Raw genomic sequence first — 18,864 nt, 5'->3', positions numbered from 1 at the left:
CCCCTACTCCTACACCTAACCCCCGCAACACACACACTCACTCACACAACTAGGTGGTTATTATAGGAGCAGAAGCTCTGGGCCCATCCTAATGGAAGAAGGAATTCATGAAGCCAGAACCACCACCTACAGCCAGGGGTGTGTTCTGAGACATTCTCTTCTGCCCCCACAAGCAGCACTCCCACTTCACACCTGCCAACCTGTACCTATCTGGCCACCACCCAGAAGTCACAACCCACAAAAGCTGGCCCAGTAGAGATGCCAGGCCCCTAAAGCCCTCCAGTGTTCAGAGACCCCACTGGAGAACAGGCCCTGAAGGTCCAGGGGGTCTCTCTGCAAGGACAGATCAGGGCATCACTTACTGCAGCCACTCAGCAACCACTTCCAGTAGTTTCATTGCGATTTGTCAAGGCAAACATATCCACCTACCCTACCTTTGGTGGAGGCAAGAGGTTAGGCCAGCTGCAGGGGACAGACTCAGACTCAGCTCCATCCCCCAACACTGCCCAACGGCCAGTCCCAGGGCAGGTCTGGAGCTCTGGAATGCCCTCGTGCCTGCCATTCCAGTCTCTGCGACCAGCCCATGCCAGACCTTGTCCTCTTCCCACTCCAGTGTCCCTTATCAAGGTCTCTGCATAGATTTGGGCTGCCGAGGACAGCTTCTGGCAAACTCCTGCCAGGGGTCCTGGACCCTCCTGCTGCTGAATTCAGCCTTGCGCTTTAATGGATTTTCCAAATAGCGGGGACCACAGGCAGCTCAAAGACTTAAAACACAAACGCAAACCCGAGGGAGGGAGAGAGGAACAGAGGGAGGGAGAAACCAGATTTTAGGAGAAACTCGACTTCAGAGAGAGAGCAGGATTTCCCTATCACTATGTTCCCCATCTCCCCGGCAGACGCCAATAACCGGCCCTAAGATGCCCTTGATCTTTGCGCGCCCCCTGCATTCCCTCGCCCCGCGTCTAACGTCTCATCTGGGCAAAGAGGCGGGGGTTGAGAGATGAAACAAGCCCGAGGGAGGATGGTCCCCAAGACATTACCTGAGGCCGGAGTACCTGAGTACCTCCACTCCTGTCGGAGGAAGGGACCAGAAGACGGCCCAGGGATGGGGACCCGGGATGCGCGCCCGAGCAGGAGGTCCCGGCCCTGTCTTGAGTACCCCCGGCAGTGCGTCTCCGGTTGTCCCGCTGTCTCGGTCCCGCTCTGTCTAGCCCCCTCCCCTGGGCTGCGCCCTCCCCGTCCCCGGCCGGATGCTAGAGGAGTTTGCGCCGCCCAACGTGGGACCCCGGTTCGGCGTCCTCACTCCCCGCCCTGCCAGGGCTGGGATTCCCGCACCCGGATTTGTAGCTAAACTTTCCTGGGCACACACGGTCTCGGGGGTGCCGGGCCTCCCCCATCCCCTGCCCACCCGGAGCCGCGCGTCCCGGCTGCAGCGGGACGGTCGCTTCACCTGCTCGCGGCTTGGCCGAGGCTCCCGCGGCTTCCTCGCGCGTCCAGACCCAGGCGCCGCCCGGCGGGTCCCCGCGCAGCTGCCGCCACCGCGGCCACCACCGGTGCCGCCGCCGCGCCTGCCCCGAGCTGCAGAGCCGCGGTTCGCCGGCAGCCGCGGGAGGCGCAATCCCGGTGCCTTGGGTTCGGCCTGCGGCTCCTCGGCTGCCTGCAGCCGCCGCCCCGCCGCGTCCCGCTGCCCGGGGCCGGCACGCACCGGCGCTGGGGTCCGCTCCTCGCCTCGCTGCGCAGGGGATCCGCCGAGCCTCCAGGATGGGCGGGGATTCCCTCCCCCTGGTTGATTCGAGGGGCGGGAACTCCCTTCCCCGAGTGACAGGGACGGGGGGCGGGGATTCCCCTGCAGGAATAACAAGGTGGGCGGGGATTTCCCCGAGCGAGCCCCGCCGCGGGCAAGGCGTCTCTCTGGGTGAGCCAGGAGTCCTGGTGCGCCCGCTTCAGAAACCTGGGGATCGTGGGAGGAAGGCATCCAGGGAGATGGCTGCTCCGAATCTCCATACAGGCGGGGCTTAGGGCGCCATCTAGGTGGAACAGAGCGAGCTAGGGGACGTGAAGTTGCCTCTGCATAGCACTTTACACAGCAAAGAGAAAAATGTCAGTTACCTTATCAAAGAATGGGGCGGAGGGGCCACAGGAGATGGGGGAAGAGCTAACCACTCACCCCAAGCTACCCTTAGCCTCTGGTCCTTGGGATACCAAAGGTAATTTAGCACTGGTACGAGGATTTCGGGGAGAGGGGACCTCTTGGCACCTCAGAGCTGCTTAATCCCCCAGTTAAGCCCCTGGGGGGGAATCCCATGGCCCTGGGGTGGTGGTTTTGGTCCCATGAGCACTAGCCACGAGCTCCTGCCGAGTGGACTGTGAGAGCTAATGCCAGCCGCCCTTGGCTCCCGTCCAGGTCACTCGAGGAACCGAGCCTCAGGCTTTTGGGATCCTTCATTCCGGTGGATTTTCAGGAAGGCCTTCAAATATTTTTGGTTCTTTTTTTGTCATCCTTGTCATTCTGCCTACCAAAGGGAGAGGATGATAAGAACATAATAGGAAGACTGCACAGCTCTGCAAATTAAGCTCTCTTAAGAGGAAAAAGCTGGTCTTTTTCAAGTGCTGGCAGATAAGAGTAAAAACATATGAAAAATTGCAAAACCTGGGATAATGAATAGTTGAATAATGCTTTTGACATTTTCTACAGAACAGTAATTGGAAATCTTTGCTTTCGGGGGGATGGGGATGGGACAGGGCAGGCCCCAGCTGCAGTTCTGCCCAGCAAGGCAATAAACTCTGGCCTCTCCGAAAAGCAGGCAGACATAAATCACCTGCGCAGACCGGACAGCGCTGTCCCACCACACCAGAGACCAGAGTGGGCCCAAGGCATTTGGAGGTGGTATTGTCCTCAGGGGCTGGGGTGGAGAAGTTCTTGATTTCAGCTGTTCTTCAGCTTTTATAATTACCAGGCCATTGAGATCAATGCTTGCACAAATCCAAGCATCGTATATGACAAGCTGGGCACTCAGGCACTCAGAGCTTCTCTTCCTATGTGTAAATAGAGAAAACACCTACCATGCAGGATTGCTGGAACTAGCAGTAACACAGCTATTCAGCACAGCACTTAGGAGGTGCTCAATGAAATGGTAACCATTATCAATGAAAGGTATCATTGGGACACTACAAAAAAATCCTTCTAGAAGGATCAAACAGGGCTGGTGCTTTCTGTTTTTTCCACAATCCCAGGCCCATCTTCCACCACTCTGTCCCGTGTTTTCTCAGCCTCTGTACCCAGCACATACCTTGGGCCTACCTCCCTCAGCACCAATGAAAAGTTTGCTGAATCAATGAATATGCAAATAAATGTATCACTCAAACTGTAGTCACTGCTATTTCTTATCCACTCCATCCCCAACTCTTTCATTCCAGCCATGTACTCCTAATCTGTAAATTCTGTTTCCTCTGCCAGAGTGACATTCTCACTCTCCTGTGTCTGCTGAAATCCCAAGGAGGTAAATGTCATCTCTACTGGAAAGGCTTCTCTGATCATCAGAACAAACATCACGTTTCCTCTGCCTTGTTAATTGCTGCAATGGTAGCACTTTATGCAAATTGCTCATCTAACCCTTGTCAGGTGTATTATGTTGTAGGAATTATGGCGTTTTGTCTCACATATTTCTAGCTTGTGAGTTCTTGGAGGTAAGAGAACTTAAAGCTTATTGTTTGTGTTCCCAAAGCCTAGGGTGGCATGGTGTCCGACCCAATAGCCACTCAATAAATATTTGCTGAATTAAAATGAATTGTTAGGTATATACATGTATGTTATATGTGGCATATATTATGTATAAATACAATATATACAGATGTATTTTATAATCTGTCTCCTTCAGACATGGCCCTGCTGACCTGCTTTAAATACTTCGTTTCAATCACTTTTCAGCTGATATTTTCCAGATATTTTTGGCAAGTTCTTATCTGCTAATAATAGCTCAATTCACAGAGGTCAATCAAATGCATGGAAATTTTGTTTTGCCCTTGCAGTCTTGTCAATTTGGAAAGCTGACAACTGAGGGCATTTATTTTCCAATGTTTGAAGATCAAAATGTAAATCCTTTTTGCCCCCTTGTTAAACATTTAGTCACAGATTAGTATTTCTATCAAAGTTGCCATTTTAATTTAGTGCTCATAATATATGTGATGTGGAGGAGGAGGAGGCTGTATATAGAATATCTAAGACTTCAGAGCAAAGGAAGATTAAAATGATAAACAAAGAAAAAATGTGTGATCCCAAGCTATATCAGTGACAGAATGTAGCGTGGTTTAGGTGAGTCCAAGTAGATTCTCATGGATTGCAGTGCCATGTGGTTTACTTCTGAGCTTTCTCCCTCTATGAAGAAAAATCTACAGACCAGGCAGCTGAAACTAAAACTGGAGGTTTGCTTACCAACTCTTGAAAAGACTGCTTTCCATCTTTCCGCCTCAGCTGCTCTTCCAAGTAAATTTCAAGGGAGGAGAAGTAGCCTTAGTCAACAACTGGCTCAATTCCCTTTCTCCTCCCAGCCTCTGTGGGTTCATTTTATCTCCAAAACAGATTCTAGCTTCCTGTTTACCTAGCGAATTACCCTTTTTTCTTTCTTCCACAAATTCCTGGCCACTAACTCTTCCATTCATGACCTCACGCTAGAACGAGCCATCTCCTGGCCAAGAAAGGGGCTTAAAAAGAACAAATGAGGCCAAGTGCCCTGGCTCATGCCTGTAATCCCAGCACTTTGGAAGGCCGAGAGGGGCGGATCACTTGAGGTCAGGAGTTCGAGACCAGCCTGGCCAACAGGGTGAAACCCAGCTTCTGCTAAAAATGCAAAAGTTAGCTGGGCATGATAGCGGGCGCCTGTAATCCCAGCTACTGGGGAGGCTGAGGCAGGAGAATTGCTTGAGCCTGGGAGGTGAAGTTTGCAGTAAGCCAAGATCACGCCACTGTACTCCTCTCTGGGAGTCAGAGCAAGACTCCGTCTCAAAGAAAAAGAACAAATGAGTGACGATGGTAGTAAAACATTAAGTCAGTGGATCTCAGTCTGGACTACACTTAAGGATTCCCAGAAGTTTGAAAATTTAAAAAACTCCAGACTCACCCCCTGAGATCACTATATACTTGGTCTTTGGGGAGCCCCTGGATGCCCCTTAACCAGAACCCCAGTGATTGTAATTTGGGTGGCCCACACAGGATAACTTGGAGAAACACTGAAGTAGAGTGACATGACAGCTGAGAGGGTGCCCAAGGTCACATTCCAGTACTTGGTCATAGTACTGTAGAGATAAGACTTTATTTTAAACATTGATAAAAATGTTGTAATATTTATCCCGTCTCAGATGAAATATTTTATTTAGCCAAAACACAAAAAAGGACCTGCATTTGATGCATACTGGTTTTTTTCTTTTTCTTTCTTTCTTTCTTTTTTTTTTTTTTTGAGATGAAGTGTCGCTCTTTTTGCCCAGGCTGGAGTGCAATGGCGCGATCTTGGCTCCCTGCAACCTCTGCCTCCTGGGTTCAAGTGATTCTCCTGCCTCAGCCTCCTGAGTACTTGGGATTACAGGTGCCCACCACCACCCCCAGCTAATTTTTGTATTTTTAGTAGAGACAGGGTTCCACCATGTTGGCCAGGCTGGTCTCAAACTCCTGACCTCAGGTGATCCGCCTGCCTCGGCCTCCCAAAGTGCTGGGATTACAGGCGTGAGCCACTGCACCCAGCCCATACTGTCTTAAAATATATATTTAGGGGAAAGGTTTAAGTAAGCACTTTTCATCCACGTACATTGAAAATGAGTTTCACTGTATCCATGAGCGTGACGTTGGATTTTATGCAAATGTGTTTTATTGTTTCCAGTGTGGTCTAATAATACTGCACGTGAAGAATTTGTAATTTTCTCCTGGGCTTCCCCTTACAAGCCAACCCATTATTTTATATCTTTGTCTCTCAGCCTTCCATTTGTACTATTGAAGCATTGGTTGCCACGGTAATTTTTTTATACAATTTTTGGCAGAAAAAACTGAATTACAAACTAGTAACTACAGACCACGTATGACTTTCACAATTTATATAGATGATTCAATCATTTTGCAATAGGGTAGAGTGTAGTGTTTATCCAAGTAGATTCTTTTGGACTGTGGTGGGATTTGATTTACCTTTGAGTTTACTTGCTTAACACACATTAAGACACCAGCAAGACAGGCCTGGCGTGGTGGCTCACGCCTGTAATCCCAGCACTTTGAGAGGCCGAGCTGAGTGGATCACCTGAGGTCAGGAGTTCAAGACCAGCCTGGCCAACATGGCGAAACCTCATCTCTACTAAAAATATAAAAATTAGCTGGGTGTGGTGGCAGGTGCCTGTAATCCCAGCTACTCAGGAGACTGAGATAGGAGAATCGCTTGAACCTGAGAGGCAGAGGTTGCAGTGAGCCAAGATCGCACCACTGCCCTCCAGCCTGGGAGACACAGCAAGACTCCATCTCAAAAAAAAAAAGACACTAGCAAAACAAACCTACTAAAAAAAAAGATAGAAAGACAGAGGTTCAGTTTTGATTAGCATAACCAGTACTCTGCTATCAGTATATCTAAAGAGAGCTGTTTTAGTTATACACACACATAGGTTTTGTTTTATACTTGGCCTTTGTCTTTATTTTGGTTTACACAAGAGACAGGACATGGCACTGAGTCTTCTTGGGGCTTGCAGCTTCTGTCACCCAGGCACAGTAGTGCCCCCCGCAAAGTTGGGAAGCTTGGGTTCTCCCCCATTCCCTGTTCCCTGGATGTTAGAATTCAGTCAAATCACCGTGTATCCAAATTTGTAGACCACAGGATTTAGGTAAGCTATTTGCACAACACATTCTCATCCCTAATTCCTATCTCCCCTGCTGATCATTCTTGTTCTGTTCTGCATTACTTACTTATGGAAAGGGATTATTTTAAGTCAATCACATGCTATTTTTACTCCTTCATCAGATACTTCTACTTCCAGATATTTTCCACTGAATAATCTCAAAAAAAGTAATTATAAAAATAAATTATATTTCTTATGTATCTATTCCATTTTCTTTGGGTTTTTTTTTGTTGTTGTTGGTTTGTTTGTTTTTTGAGACAGGTTCTTACTCTGTCACCCAGGCTGGAGTGCAGTGGCATGATCATGGCTCACTGCAGCCTCAACCTCCCAGGCTCAAGCGATCCTCCCACCTCAGCCGCCCAAGTAGTTGGGACTGCAGGTGCATCCCACCACTCTTAGCTAATTTTTTATTATTTGTAGAGAAGGGATCTCACTATGTTGCCAAGGCTGGTCTTGAACTCTTGGACTCAAGCAATCCTCCTGCCTTGGCTTTCCAAAGTGCTGGGACTACAGACGTGAGCCACCACACCCTGCCATTTTTAAAATTTTTTTAAAATTGTACTTCTTCACTCCTCTTTGTATCTTTTTACCTCTCTTAGCACCTGCCTTTATTGGTAGAGCTAACATGAACATGGAACTAAAAGTCAGCTTAATGATACCCAGCCCAAAAAGCAACAGAGACCCAGTGCTGTGTTCTGTGACCAATCACAATAACACAGTAAAATTTGAGTAACATTGGGCACCTTTCTGTAATAATACCTATCTCTAAAAGTCTATTACGATCTTGGGTCCACAGCAAGATCATAAATGGGAAAGTACTTTGGAAAAATTTAAAGGTCTCTTCAAATGAGAGAATGTGAGAGCAACAGCTCTTGGAATGACAATTTGTCCTAAAATGTACATGAATAAGATGGTTTACATTTCATCTCAATGTACAGCAAGAATTACCAAGTGTGGTTGATGAGGCCATTGATAAATCATCATTCACAAGTTATTTGCATGAAGTATGAATTAGTGAGCCAAACAAGAAATGCATTTTACATCTCTGCTGTACTCAAGAGCACCGGTCAATGAAATCCACAGAAAGTGCAACCTTGGGGAAAATGCTAGAGGAGACTTGAAAAAGCCAGATTTGGTAAAAGCAAAGTCTTTGTCCATTTGAAGATATATAGGAATGTTTATTATTATTTTGGTTTTAGTAAATGCTGACAACCACCTCCTCTCTAATTGCCCATTGGAATGGTCTCCCAATTGAGCTATTTCTTGAAAAAAACCTAGCCAATAGTGCTCTTGGTTGGCCTTTATTTAAGTCACAGGGTCACTCTCATTTCTAGTTAACAGAATGCCACAAAAAATGTTGCAATGCCCATTTTCTCTATTTGTTGATTTTTTGTGTGAATCATCTTTTCTGCTTTCCTGTGTGCTTATCAACCAGGCAAATAGCCCAAACTGCTTTTAAATAATTTGCTATTGTAATTTACCTAATCAGACCACCTGGAAATAAAGAAAGGAGAAACCAGAGAATGAAGGCCACTCCGAAGATGACAAGATCCCAGAATTCTAGAGCCCAAAGGAGACATCGTAGGAATCACGTTGCCCAGGTTGGTTCTGTGGCTTGCCTAGGAAGCACTCTTCATGGGGACACAGCATGTATTTTAGAAAGGTGGCGAAGAAAGACCCTGTGGGATCAGGTGACCTTTCTTTCTGCCCATCATTTTGGCCATGCTAATTCTATCTCTTGCATAATATCCAATGCCTGGTTTTCACAGTCAAGATGCCACGTCTCAGGACAGTGGGCTCTGAAGATGGAGACTGACTTCAAGGACTAATGTCATTCCTGTTCCCTGTCATTGAAGGGTGCACATGTATCTCTGCTTTATGCCCTGGTAGAGGAAATATTCTCCAATAAAGGTAGCAGACTTATAAATTAATTCCTTATGATAAATTCCAAATGCTCCTCAAAGAATGATGTTTTTCTTATTAAAGTCTTATGTGATGTGTACTATCAGTCAGGATGTCATGGGGCTTATCAATATTGTATCTCTGCATGAATCTGAAAGATAGTGCTTTTAGAGATCAAGAGAGTCCACAGAAAATGCAGTAATGTGGAATGGCATATAGCAAAGTTTGAGAATTATTCTAGACACATAATTTTTTTTTTCTAACAAGGGCTCACAATCTACTAAAAAAAAAGGTACTTTTTTTCCTGGAATTGTTAATTGACAAACCTTTATGTAAAATCAAAGTGAATAGTCCCATAGACACCACTTCATATTACAGTTCTTTGCTGGGTCAGAACCAGGGCAAGGCAAGAGAGGTGCTAGGGCACAAAATTTAAGGAGGCACCCACTTTCAGAGTCAGCCCTGAGAGTGGGTGCACAACACTGAGAATGAATGCCTTCTTAACATTTTTTAAAATTGATATATCATAGTTGTATATACTTGGGGGGTACACGTCATATTTTCATACCTGTGTGCAATGTGTAATGATCAAATCAGGGTAAATGGGATATCGATCACTGCAAACATTTCTCTTTTCTTTATGTTGAGAACAACATAATTATTGTAGCTATTTTGAAATACACAATAAATTATTGTTAACTATAATTTCTCTACCCTGCTGTCAAATACTGGAACTTATTCCTTCCATCTCACTGTCCTTCAAATTTTCCCTAGCTTCCTCTCTTGCATAACCCTATCCCTGGTCCTGGTTCTCTGACAGAGCACTTAGAATGCAGAAGACATCCTGAAAGGTCTGGGCGCTGATCAGCAGAGGGGAGCATAGCAATAGTGATTGACAGCACAGAGATCAGCCTGGGCTTTGCCAGTGACTGTGGGCTTGACCTTGGGCAGGCTGGATCCAGACACAGAACCCCATGATGCCATGCTGCGGCTGCCTGCCCTGCCCACCTCCCTCCTTCCCTCGTGAATGACCACATACAGGCCACCGAGCAACACGCAGCTGTCAACACTGCACAGATGATTCGCAGAGGCAGGTCTGGCAGCACTGTACACATGCTTTCTAATTTCTACACCTCAATGGAGTGCTGGTAGGCGGAGTGCTCAGCAGCCTCCAAGAGACATTGAAAATGTTTTCATTGGTCCATGCCTGCTGTACGCCTTGCTTCTGCACCGTCTGCCTTGTTCTCATCCCCATAATGCTCTGTCTCGACCTTGATGCAGTTTCCTCTCCCTCACTGCCTCCCAAACCCCTGCACCAACTAGCACTCCCTCGCTGTAATTAACACGTACCCATTTCCTCTTCCTTCCCATCTCTAGATCTTCATCCTTCAATGAAGACATGGCCTCCCCTGCAGCTCTCTCTAGTTAGTCTGTTTATTTGATCACAATACACATTACCTTATAACTCAAGGTCAGGAGTGGTGTGAGGGACTCCCATGCCCATATATTCCATGGCCTCTCATTTCCATCACTTTCTTATCTAAATTCTCTTGTGCTTTGGTTGCATCTACTTGGAGAACTGCAATCCAGGATGAAACCTGCCCTCCCTGGGCTTGTACCTTGAAGTTAAAGCACTGATGGAAAAAAAATATGTACCTGGGTAAATGGTGAATTCCTGGTTGCCTATCTCAACTGGCTCTCAACAATGTCCAGGAACCATTTCTCTAATCAACCCATTCCCCCATGTATGCAATAAGTATATCAAACCTTCTGCATAGTGTAAAATTTCTGACTCCTCTTGTATTACCTTTTTACTACCCTCTTCTTAACTGAAGATGACCTTATTTTAAAATGCCCAGATAAAAGTTATCAGATAGGAACCCCTTAACTTTCTACCTCCAGGTTAGTAGGTATTCCCTGAATAAGCACCCACCTCCCTTGTTTTTTTGTTTGTTTGTTTTTGAGATGGAGTCTCACTCTGTCACCTAGGCTGGCGTGCAACAACGTGATCTTGGCTTACTGCAACCTCTGCCTCCCGGGCTCAAGCGACCACCTCCCTATTCCTTCCTGGAGATGGCATCTCTCCACTTAGATATTCCACAGATGCTTCAAACTACTGAAGTACAAACTGAATTCATGAACTTTCCCCCCCAAAATCTATCCCTTATTGTTAGCCATTCCAGTAAAGAGGGTCCTAATACTCCGAGCTGTCCAAACCAAAAGTCTCAGTGTCCCTCACGTCTCATATCCAAAAAGTGCATCCTATCAGTTCTTTCTCAAGTACTTGCTGGTTAAACCTCTCTGGTCCAAGCTACCTTCATCTTTTATTTACAGCAGAGGTTGGTGAACTTCTGCTATAAATGAAAGTTTTTTCTTTAATTTTTGTTTCAAAACAAAGCTTTTTTTTTCCAGCAAACAAGTTTTTTTTTGTTTGTTTGTTTGTTTGTTTTTGAGATGGGGTCTCGTTTTGTCACCCAGGCTGGAGTACAGTGGCGCTATCTCGGCTCACTGCAGCCTCCGCCTCCCAGGTTCCAGTGATTCTCCTCCCTCAGCCTCCCAGGTAGCTGGGATTACAGGCCTGCATCACCATGCCCAGCTAATTTTTGTATTTTTAGTAGAGACGGGGTTTCACCATATTGGCCAGGCTGGTCTCAGACCCCTGACCTCAGGTGATCTGCCTGCCTCGGCCTCCCAAAGTGCTATGATAACAGGAGTGAGCCACCGCACTGGGCCAGCAAACAAGTTTTATTGGAATGTAGCTGTGCTCATTCATTTATGGACTGTCTATGGCTGCATGCACTCTAAGAGCAGAGTTGAGTAGTTGCAACAGAGTCCATGAGGCCCATAAAGCTGAAAATATTTACTAGCTTTTCCTTTACAGGAGAAGTTGCAAGAACGTCCTGAATGCATCGTGCACCAAACCTTGTACTCTGTTCTCACACATCTTTTTAAAACGTCTTATCACCATCCTCGGAAACTCATCAGAGCACAAACATCACGCTCGGGATAAAATGCAGTGTCCCTAGTCCAGCCTGCAAGGCTCCACATGAGTAGCCCTGTGTCTACCTCTCCACCCTCAGCTTGTATGTATACTCCTTGCTCGCCTAGTCCAACAGTGCTAGAGTGCTGTCTGCCTTTCCATCCCTCCAGTGCACTGTGCTCTTCCACACCACAGAACTGGGAATACTTTGTTTCTTTTGCCTTGGAGGCTCTTTTTTCTTTCTCACTTGTCCCTCATCCAATTCCTACTTAGTCTTTAGGACCCTGGTTAAACCTCACTTCCTCCAGGAAGCCTTCTATTTCTCTCAGATTAGGTTAGGTGCCCTGTTTCAGAGCACTACGTACTTCTATTTCATTTTTATTTATTTATCTATTTTGAGACGGAGTTTCACTCTTGTTGCCCAGGCTGGAGTGCAATGACACGATCTCGGCTCACCGCAACCTCTGCCTCCCAGGTTTAAGCAATTCTCCTGCCTCAGCCTCCCGAGTAGCTGGGATTACAGGTGTGCGCCACCACGCCTGGCTAATTTTGTATTTTTAGTAGAGATGGGGTTTCTCCATGTTGGTCAGGCTGGTCTCGAACTCCCGACCTCAGGTGATCCTACTGCCTTGGCCTCCCAAAGTGCTGGGATTACAGGTGTGAGCTACCGTGCCCGGCCTATTTGTTTATTTATTTTACAGGCAGGGTCTTAGGCTGGAGTGCAGTGGCACAGTCATAGCTCACTGCAGCCTTGAACTCCTAGGCTCAAGGGATTCCCCTGACTCATTATCCCAAGTAGCTAGAACTACAGGCACACATCACCACACCCAGTTAATTTCTTTTAAAATTTTTTTTATAGAGACTGGGTCTCACTATGTCATCCAGGCTGGTCTTGAGCTCTTGGGCTCAAGCAATCCTCATATTGGCCTCCCAAAGTACTGGGATTACAGGTGTGAGCCACTGCCTTGGGCATGAACTTTTATTATTTATTTATTTAGAGACAGGGGTCTTACTCTGTTGTCTAGGCTGGAGTGCAGTGGCATGATCATGGCTCACTGCAATCTTGACTGGCTGGGCTCAAGTGATCCTCCCACCTCAGCCTCCCAAGTTGCTGGGACTACAGGCACACACCACCACGCCCGGCTAATTTTTGTGTTTTTTGTAGAGACAGGGTTTTCACCATGTTGCCCAGGCTGGTCACGAACTCCTGGGCTCAAGTGATCCACCACCTTGGCCACCGAAAGTGCTGGGATTATAGATGAGAGTCACCATTCCTGGCTTGCACTTTTATTTTAAAGCTCTTATCTCAAATGCTCTTAATTTTTTGAAATGATTTGTTTAATACTTGCTTGTGTGGTTAGACTGAAGACTTCATGATAGAAAAATCTTTGTTTATCTGATTCAGAAAAGTAATCTTCAGTACCTGACACACAGCCTGGCACAAGACAGATACTCAGAAAATATTTATTGAATAAATGGATGATTGGCAATAACATTATAGGGTTGTGGTGAGGATAATGGGAGGAAATATACACATTCAATTTAGTTAATTGCTTAGTCCTGGCAAAAGTAGAGAACATTTATATTTTTAATGACAATGATGATGATGATGCCCTGACTTCGAATTACTTCTGGATTTCTTGATTTGGCAAAAAACTGAGGACCAATAATGCATTTTATTCTTGTAACACAGAGTGTGAGTTGTTCTTCAATTGATTTCTTCTCTTTGGCCATCTATAACAGGCATAATTGGCTTTTCATAGTGTGAGACCTTAAAAAAAAGTATCCAAGCCCAGGAGCCTAAAATCATAATAACGCGTGGCTCTTCTGTGGAGTGGTTTCTGCTAGCCCTCTATTCTCTACCCTGCTGTATGTCCTAGGAGGCTGACATCCTGTTATGTTCCTTTGACATCTGCCTTCTGGTTGGGTTTGACCAATGGGTACCACCGGCGAGAGATTGGAGGAAGGAGAGCAAGGAGAAAATATTAATCTTCTCCCACCTCTCCCCCACTCTGGGCTGCAGGTTGACAGTGACTGCCCCACTACCTAAGGTCATAGCTCCTACCGGGAGGCTCCTTAACCTGCCACTCTCCCGGGCCCTCCCTCTGCAGGTACTCCTTCCTCTTGCTTGTGCTAGCCTGTGGGAGTTACAGCTCCCTGCCCTCGCTAGATGTGGCAGGCTCCATTATCGCTTTGATTTCTCCTAATTTGTCCACACCTTTGCCAATTAAACTCTTCAATTATCCCGGCTTAAGTGTGCACACTGTTCTCAGATAGAACCCTGACTCATACAATTCCATCACCTAAATAAATATAATGAAAATATTTCAAGAGGCGCTTGCTGCTTCTGTAGATCTCTCTGGTAGTCTGAGTACGTCTGCAAGCTTAGTTAATGTCACATGAGGTTAGGTGCCATTATTCCCATTTCTCAGTAGGCCAAAGGAGTCTGGAAGCAATCTGAGGCATGAACCCATGCTTCCAGAGGCTGGCAGTGGCAAAGTCGGAGCTGCTCCTCCTCTCCGAACCCTACCCACTGAGCTCAGAGCTACATCATGGCTACTTCCCTCTAAAAGGACCACCCACCAAAAGCTGGAGAGCTGGGACCCCAGATAAATCATCCTTGATGATAAAGCCCTCTGCAGTGAGTCTAATCCAGGTGAACTCCAAAGCTCAGAGCTCAGGAGTGTGCAGCTGGCTCTGTGCCCCAATTTAGAGCAGGTCTGGGAAGCATTCCCAGATGGCTCCTGGATGTCATTGCTTTTTCTGGCTGCGTTCCTGGGGGAAGTGGGAAAACACACCTAGGTCTCCTAGCTGCAAACCCAAGCAAAGAGCACATTGTCATATCTTTAGCAAATGATAACACACAAAACACAGACAGCCAAAGAACTAGAGAGAGACATATCCACCCAGCTGAACCGATTCACTCTTTAGAGCCAAGAGACAGCCAGTGTGGAAGGTCCTCTATCCTCCCAACGAATCAATTCTCTGTCTTAAAAGCAACTGTCCAAGGCTTCAGGCAAATCACAGACAACCCATCACTCTATTGTGTATCTCAATTTCCCTCTCTGAAAAAATGGAGTTCTACCCATTGGCAGAAAGGTGAGCAATCACCCATTAAGGTGAGCAAAAATCTCCACAAGCCTCAATTTAAGAACCTCAAATGCAAAACTAATGTTGTTATATCTCCTTTATTAGGCAGGGGGTAGGTCCCACACAGAGGCAGTATGAGTTGTAATTAAGGGCATGGACTCTAAAGCCAGACTGCCTGTATTTGAATTCTAAGTCGGCTAGCAACTAGCTGTGTGATCTTGGAAAAGTAATGTAACCTCTCTGTGCCTCTGTTTTCTTATCTGTAAAATAGGAATGATGATCATGTCTACCTCATAGGGTTGACATGAAGATTAAATGATTTATTATAAGGAAAGCACTTTGAACATGCCTAGTATGTGGTAAAGACTGTGTAAGTCATTCAGTAACATAGTGATTTTAGTAATTATTCATGTATCTTTAGATAGACTTATCTGGAATGTTGATCAGTTTTTTTTTTAACATTTTTTGGCTGTAGCCCAAATAACTTCTGGGATGAAATAACAGATCCTCTGTGCTAGCACTGCCAATTATTAGATCAAGGGAATTTGGCTTGTGTCTTCGCTGTCATCAGGAAAAGAATATAACTGGATGCTGATAATTGGAAAAGCACATTCTGGTCCATGGCCTCAGCCTGGCAGCTAATCAGTTATGCCCAAAGAATAAGGTGAAGCACCAGGTGGCCTTACCTACAGGCCTGATGCAGTGAAGAGAGGCCTTTTAAGCAGACATCCCTCACTGCTGACTGAAGGCCTAGTGTGATTCCCCATCCATCATACACAAAGGTCTTTTCACTTAGGCATCCGTCCCACGAGCAAATGCATCTTTGCACTCCTAACAGGCTGAATTACTGTGTGCTCTTCCCTCTGTCCTCTTCTTCAATTTCCCATTTCAAATCAATGACCCACCCAGCTTTCTATAAGCAAGTTTTGGTTTTTCTCTACTGGCTTTCTTTCTCTCTTTCTTTTCTTTTTCTTTTTCCTTTTTTTTTTTTTTTTTGAGATGGAGTCTCACTCTGTTGCCCAGGCTGGAGTGCAGTGGTGCCATCTTGGCTCACTGCAACCTCTGCCTCCTGGGTTCAAGTGATTCTCCTGCCTCAGCCTCAGCTGGGATTACAGGTGTGGGCCACCACACCCAGCTAATTTTTGTGTTTTCAGTAGAGACGGGGTTTCGCCATGATGGCCAGACTGGTCTCGAACTCCTGGCCTCAAGTGATCCGCAAACCTCGGCCTCGCAAAGTGCTGGGATTACAGGTGTGAGCCACAGTGCCCAGCCACTCACTGGCTTTCAACTACAACACAAGGCCTCCAGGTCTGAGGAGGAGCTCAGTGTCTTCAGCAATCCTCCTCTTAGGGTAGTCCTGATCATCTGATATTCTTAATGAAAACACTTTGGTTCCCCAGAGAACAGTCAAGAGTCCTTAAGAGTGGCTGTCCTTTCATATCTTAGTACTAATTGCTAATTTTTATTGAGCATTTATTATGTTCTAGGCACTATGCCAAATACTTTATATAAAATTCACATTTAATTCTCACAATAGTCCTATGAAATAGGCACAAGAGTTCACTATCCAAGTCCTTAGAACAGTGCTGTCCTATAGAAATATAATGCGAGCCACAAATTTGGGCTACAGATGTAATTCTGAGTTTTCTAGTAGCCACATTATAAACAGTAAAAAGAAACAAGGAAACCTAATTTAATTTTTTTAGAGACAGGGTCTGGCTCCATTGCCCAGGCTGGAGTGCAGTGGCATGATCATTAATTTTAGTAATATATTTTGCTTAACCAAACACACCTTAAAAACTGGCATTTAAATATGCAATCAATATAAAATTATTAATAAGCTATTTTACATTCATTTTTTGTACTAAGTCTTCAAAATCCAAATTTCAATGAACATAATGTAGAAGGCTGGGCAGAGTGGCTCAATCCTATAATCCCAGCAGGCCTCTTGCCTTGGGAGGCCAAGGCAGGAGGATTGTTTGAGCCCAGTTCAGTACTAGCCTGAACAACATAGCCTGTCTCTACAAAAAAATGAAAAATTAGCCAGGGTGGTGACACACACCTGTAGTCTTAGCTACTTGGGAGGCTAAGGTGGGAGGATCACTTAAGCCCAGGAGTTTGAGACTGCAGTAAGCTATGATTATGCCACTGCACTCCAGCCTGAGTGACAGAGTGACACCCTGTCTCTAAACAAAAGAAAACAAAACAAACACCAACAACAAAACAATGTAGAAGGAATGAGGGAAATGGATAGAAAACCACCATTTGTCAAACACCATGGTAATAACTGTTGCATCCAAGGTCCACCCATGCATTACAAGCAACAATTATTACTGTGGTGTCTGGCATGTTCTATTTCCCTCATTACCTTTACATTTATTAATTAGAGAATGAAAATTTAAGGAAAAATAGGATACGTACCTACTTTATACTCTCAAAGTATCTTTCTCAAGATATTCATTAATTACAAAGAGAAAAACAGTAACTTTACAGTGGAGAAACCCAGCAGACAGTTAACCTCATCAATGGTAAAACATAGCAACACCACGTGCCTCCAGACAGGATGCACAGAGAAGGACACATCACTTCTGTGGTCTTACAAAAAATCTGTCACCTCAGTCTAGTCATGGGAACATTTCAGAAATACCCACATGGAGAGACAGTGTACAAAACAACTGGCCCGTAGTCTTCCAAAATGCCAAAGTCAGGAAGGATAAGGAAGGCCTGGGGAGCTGTCACAGATTGAGAGAGACAAGGAGACAAAACTCAACACAACGTGGGATCCTGGATTGGATCTTGAAACAGAAAAAGCATGTTAGTGTCACAATGGATGTGATTCAAATAAGGCCTGTAGTTCAGATAAAAATTATGTACCAGTGGCCAGGCGCAATGGCTCATGCTTACATCCTAGCAGGTTGGGAGGCTAAGGTGGGAGGATTGCTTGAGTCCAGGAGTTCGAGACCAGCCTGTGCAATATAGTGAGAATTCATCTCTACAAAAAATTAGCCAGGCATGGTAACATGCGGCTGGCATGGGGGGATTGTTTGCGCCTGGGAGGTGGTGAGCCGAGATTGTGCCACTGCACTTCAGCCTGGGCAATGGAGTGAGACTCTGTTTCAAAAAAAAAAAAAAAATTATGTGCCAGTGTTAATGTCCTGGGCTTGATCATTGTTCTCTGGTTATGAAAATTGTTACCATTTAGGGCATCTGGGAAAAGAGTATACAGGAACTGTACTGTTTTTGCGGGTTTCTGTAAGTCTAAAACTACTTCAAAATAAAAAGTAGAAAAACAATGCAATGCAAATAAAATGCAAATTGATTACAAAGTATCTTTGCAATTACTTCCAAAGATGTGGAAGTCTAGGAAGTTGATAAAAGCATTGAAGTATTGCTAGAAATGCATGAAAAAAAACATTAACAAACTAGGTAAAACAGTTCACTTTTAGAGAAGAGAAATCAACAAGGATGGTAACAGGCTGTGGGTTTCCAAAAAAACAATGATTTAAATGTCGAAAAATTATGAGAGATCCTTGGAAAAATGAATGATGCTCTCTAATGTTTGCCAAGAACTTTCTGCTAGAAAATCATAGACAAAGTGAAGGCTGTTGTATCATGCTATCGTATAATTTTAGTTTAAAAATTATGCCAAAAAATCCACATGAGATTTATTTTTATTCATTCTAAGAATGAGCACATAGTTGCAATTATAATCTGTGTTCTACTGGATGAGATGAAATGTTATTTTTATAATTTATAGCTTCATTTTTCATTAAAAGAAAAAAGCCTCACTTGAAATTTTAATCCATCTTAAATGGCTTGACTTTAATTGCTCTATTCCAGCCTCAGAAACCAGACCCTCAAGTCCATGCTCTTAACCACTGCACTATTTCTGTCCCAAAGAAGGACTTCCCTTTGTTTCCATTACCTCTAAGTCACCCAAAACAAGTTACATGCCCTTTGTGAGGCCAAGGCACCCTGGAATGTCTTTTGTTGTTGTTGTTGTTGTTGAGGAGACAGAGTTTCACTCT

General features: G+C 45.1%; 1 protein-coding gene across 2 annotated transcripts in view, besides 1 other annotated feature; it reads right to left on the bottom strand.

Annotated features, from left to right (window-relative positions):
* Window positions 1-1,757, bottom strand: part of PDZD2 (PDZ domain containing 2) — a 471,802-nt gene extending 470,045 nt beyond the window's left edge. For both annotated transcript variants that reach the window (XM_005248269.5, NM_178140.4), the window contains exon 1: window positions 1,451-1,757. The gene's annotated coding sequence lies outside the window, so the exon portion shown is untranslated. The remainder of the gene's footprint in view (window positions 1-1,450) is intronic.
* Window positions 1,454-1,803: a silencer, noted in NCBI's record as "silent region_15952". NCBI's record gives its function as "represses an Ori minimal core promoter by ATAC-STARR-seq in GM12878 lymphoblastoid cells {active_cell/tissue: GM12878}" and the evidence as "EXISTENCE:reporter gene assay evidence [ECO:0000049][PMID:35858748]".

Source organism: Homo sapiens, chromosome 5 (genome assembly GCF_000001405.40).
Source record: "Homo sapiens chromosome 5, GRCh38.p14 Primary Assembly".
Lineage (NCBI taxonomy): Eukaryota > Metazoa > Chordata > Mammalia > Primates > Hominidae > Homo > Homo sapiens.
Note: the sequence above shows the minus strand (reverse complement) of the source record. Positions and strands in the feature narration are given on the sequence as shown.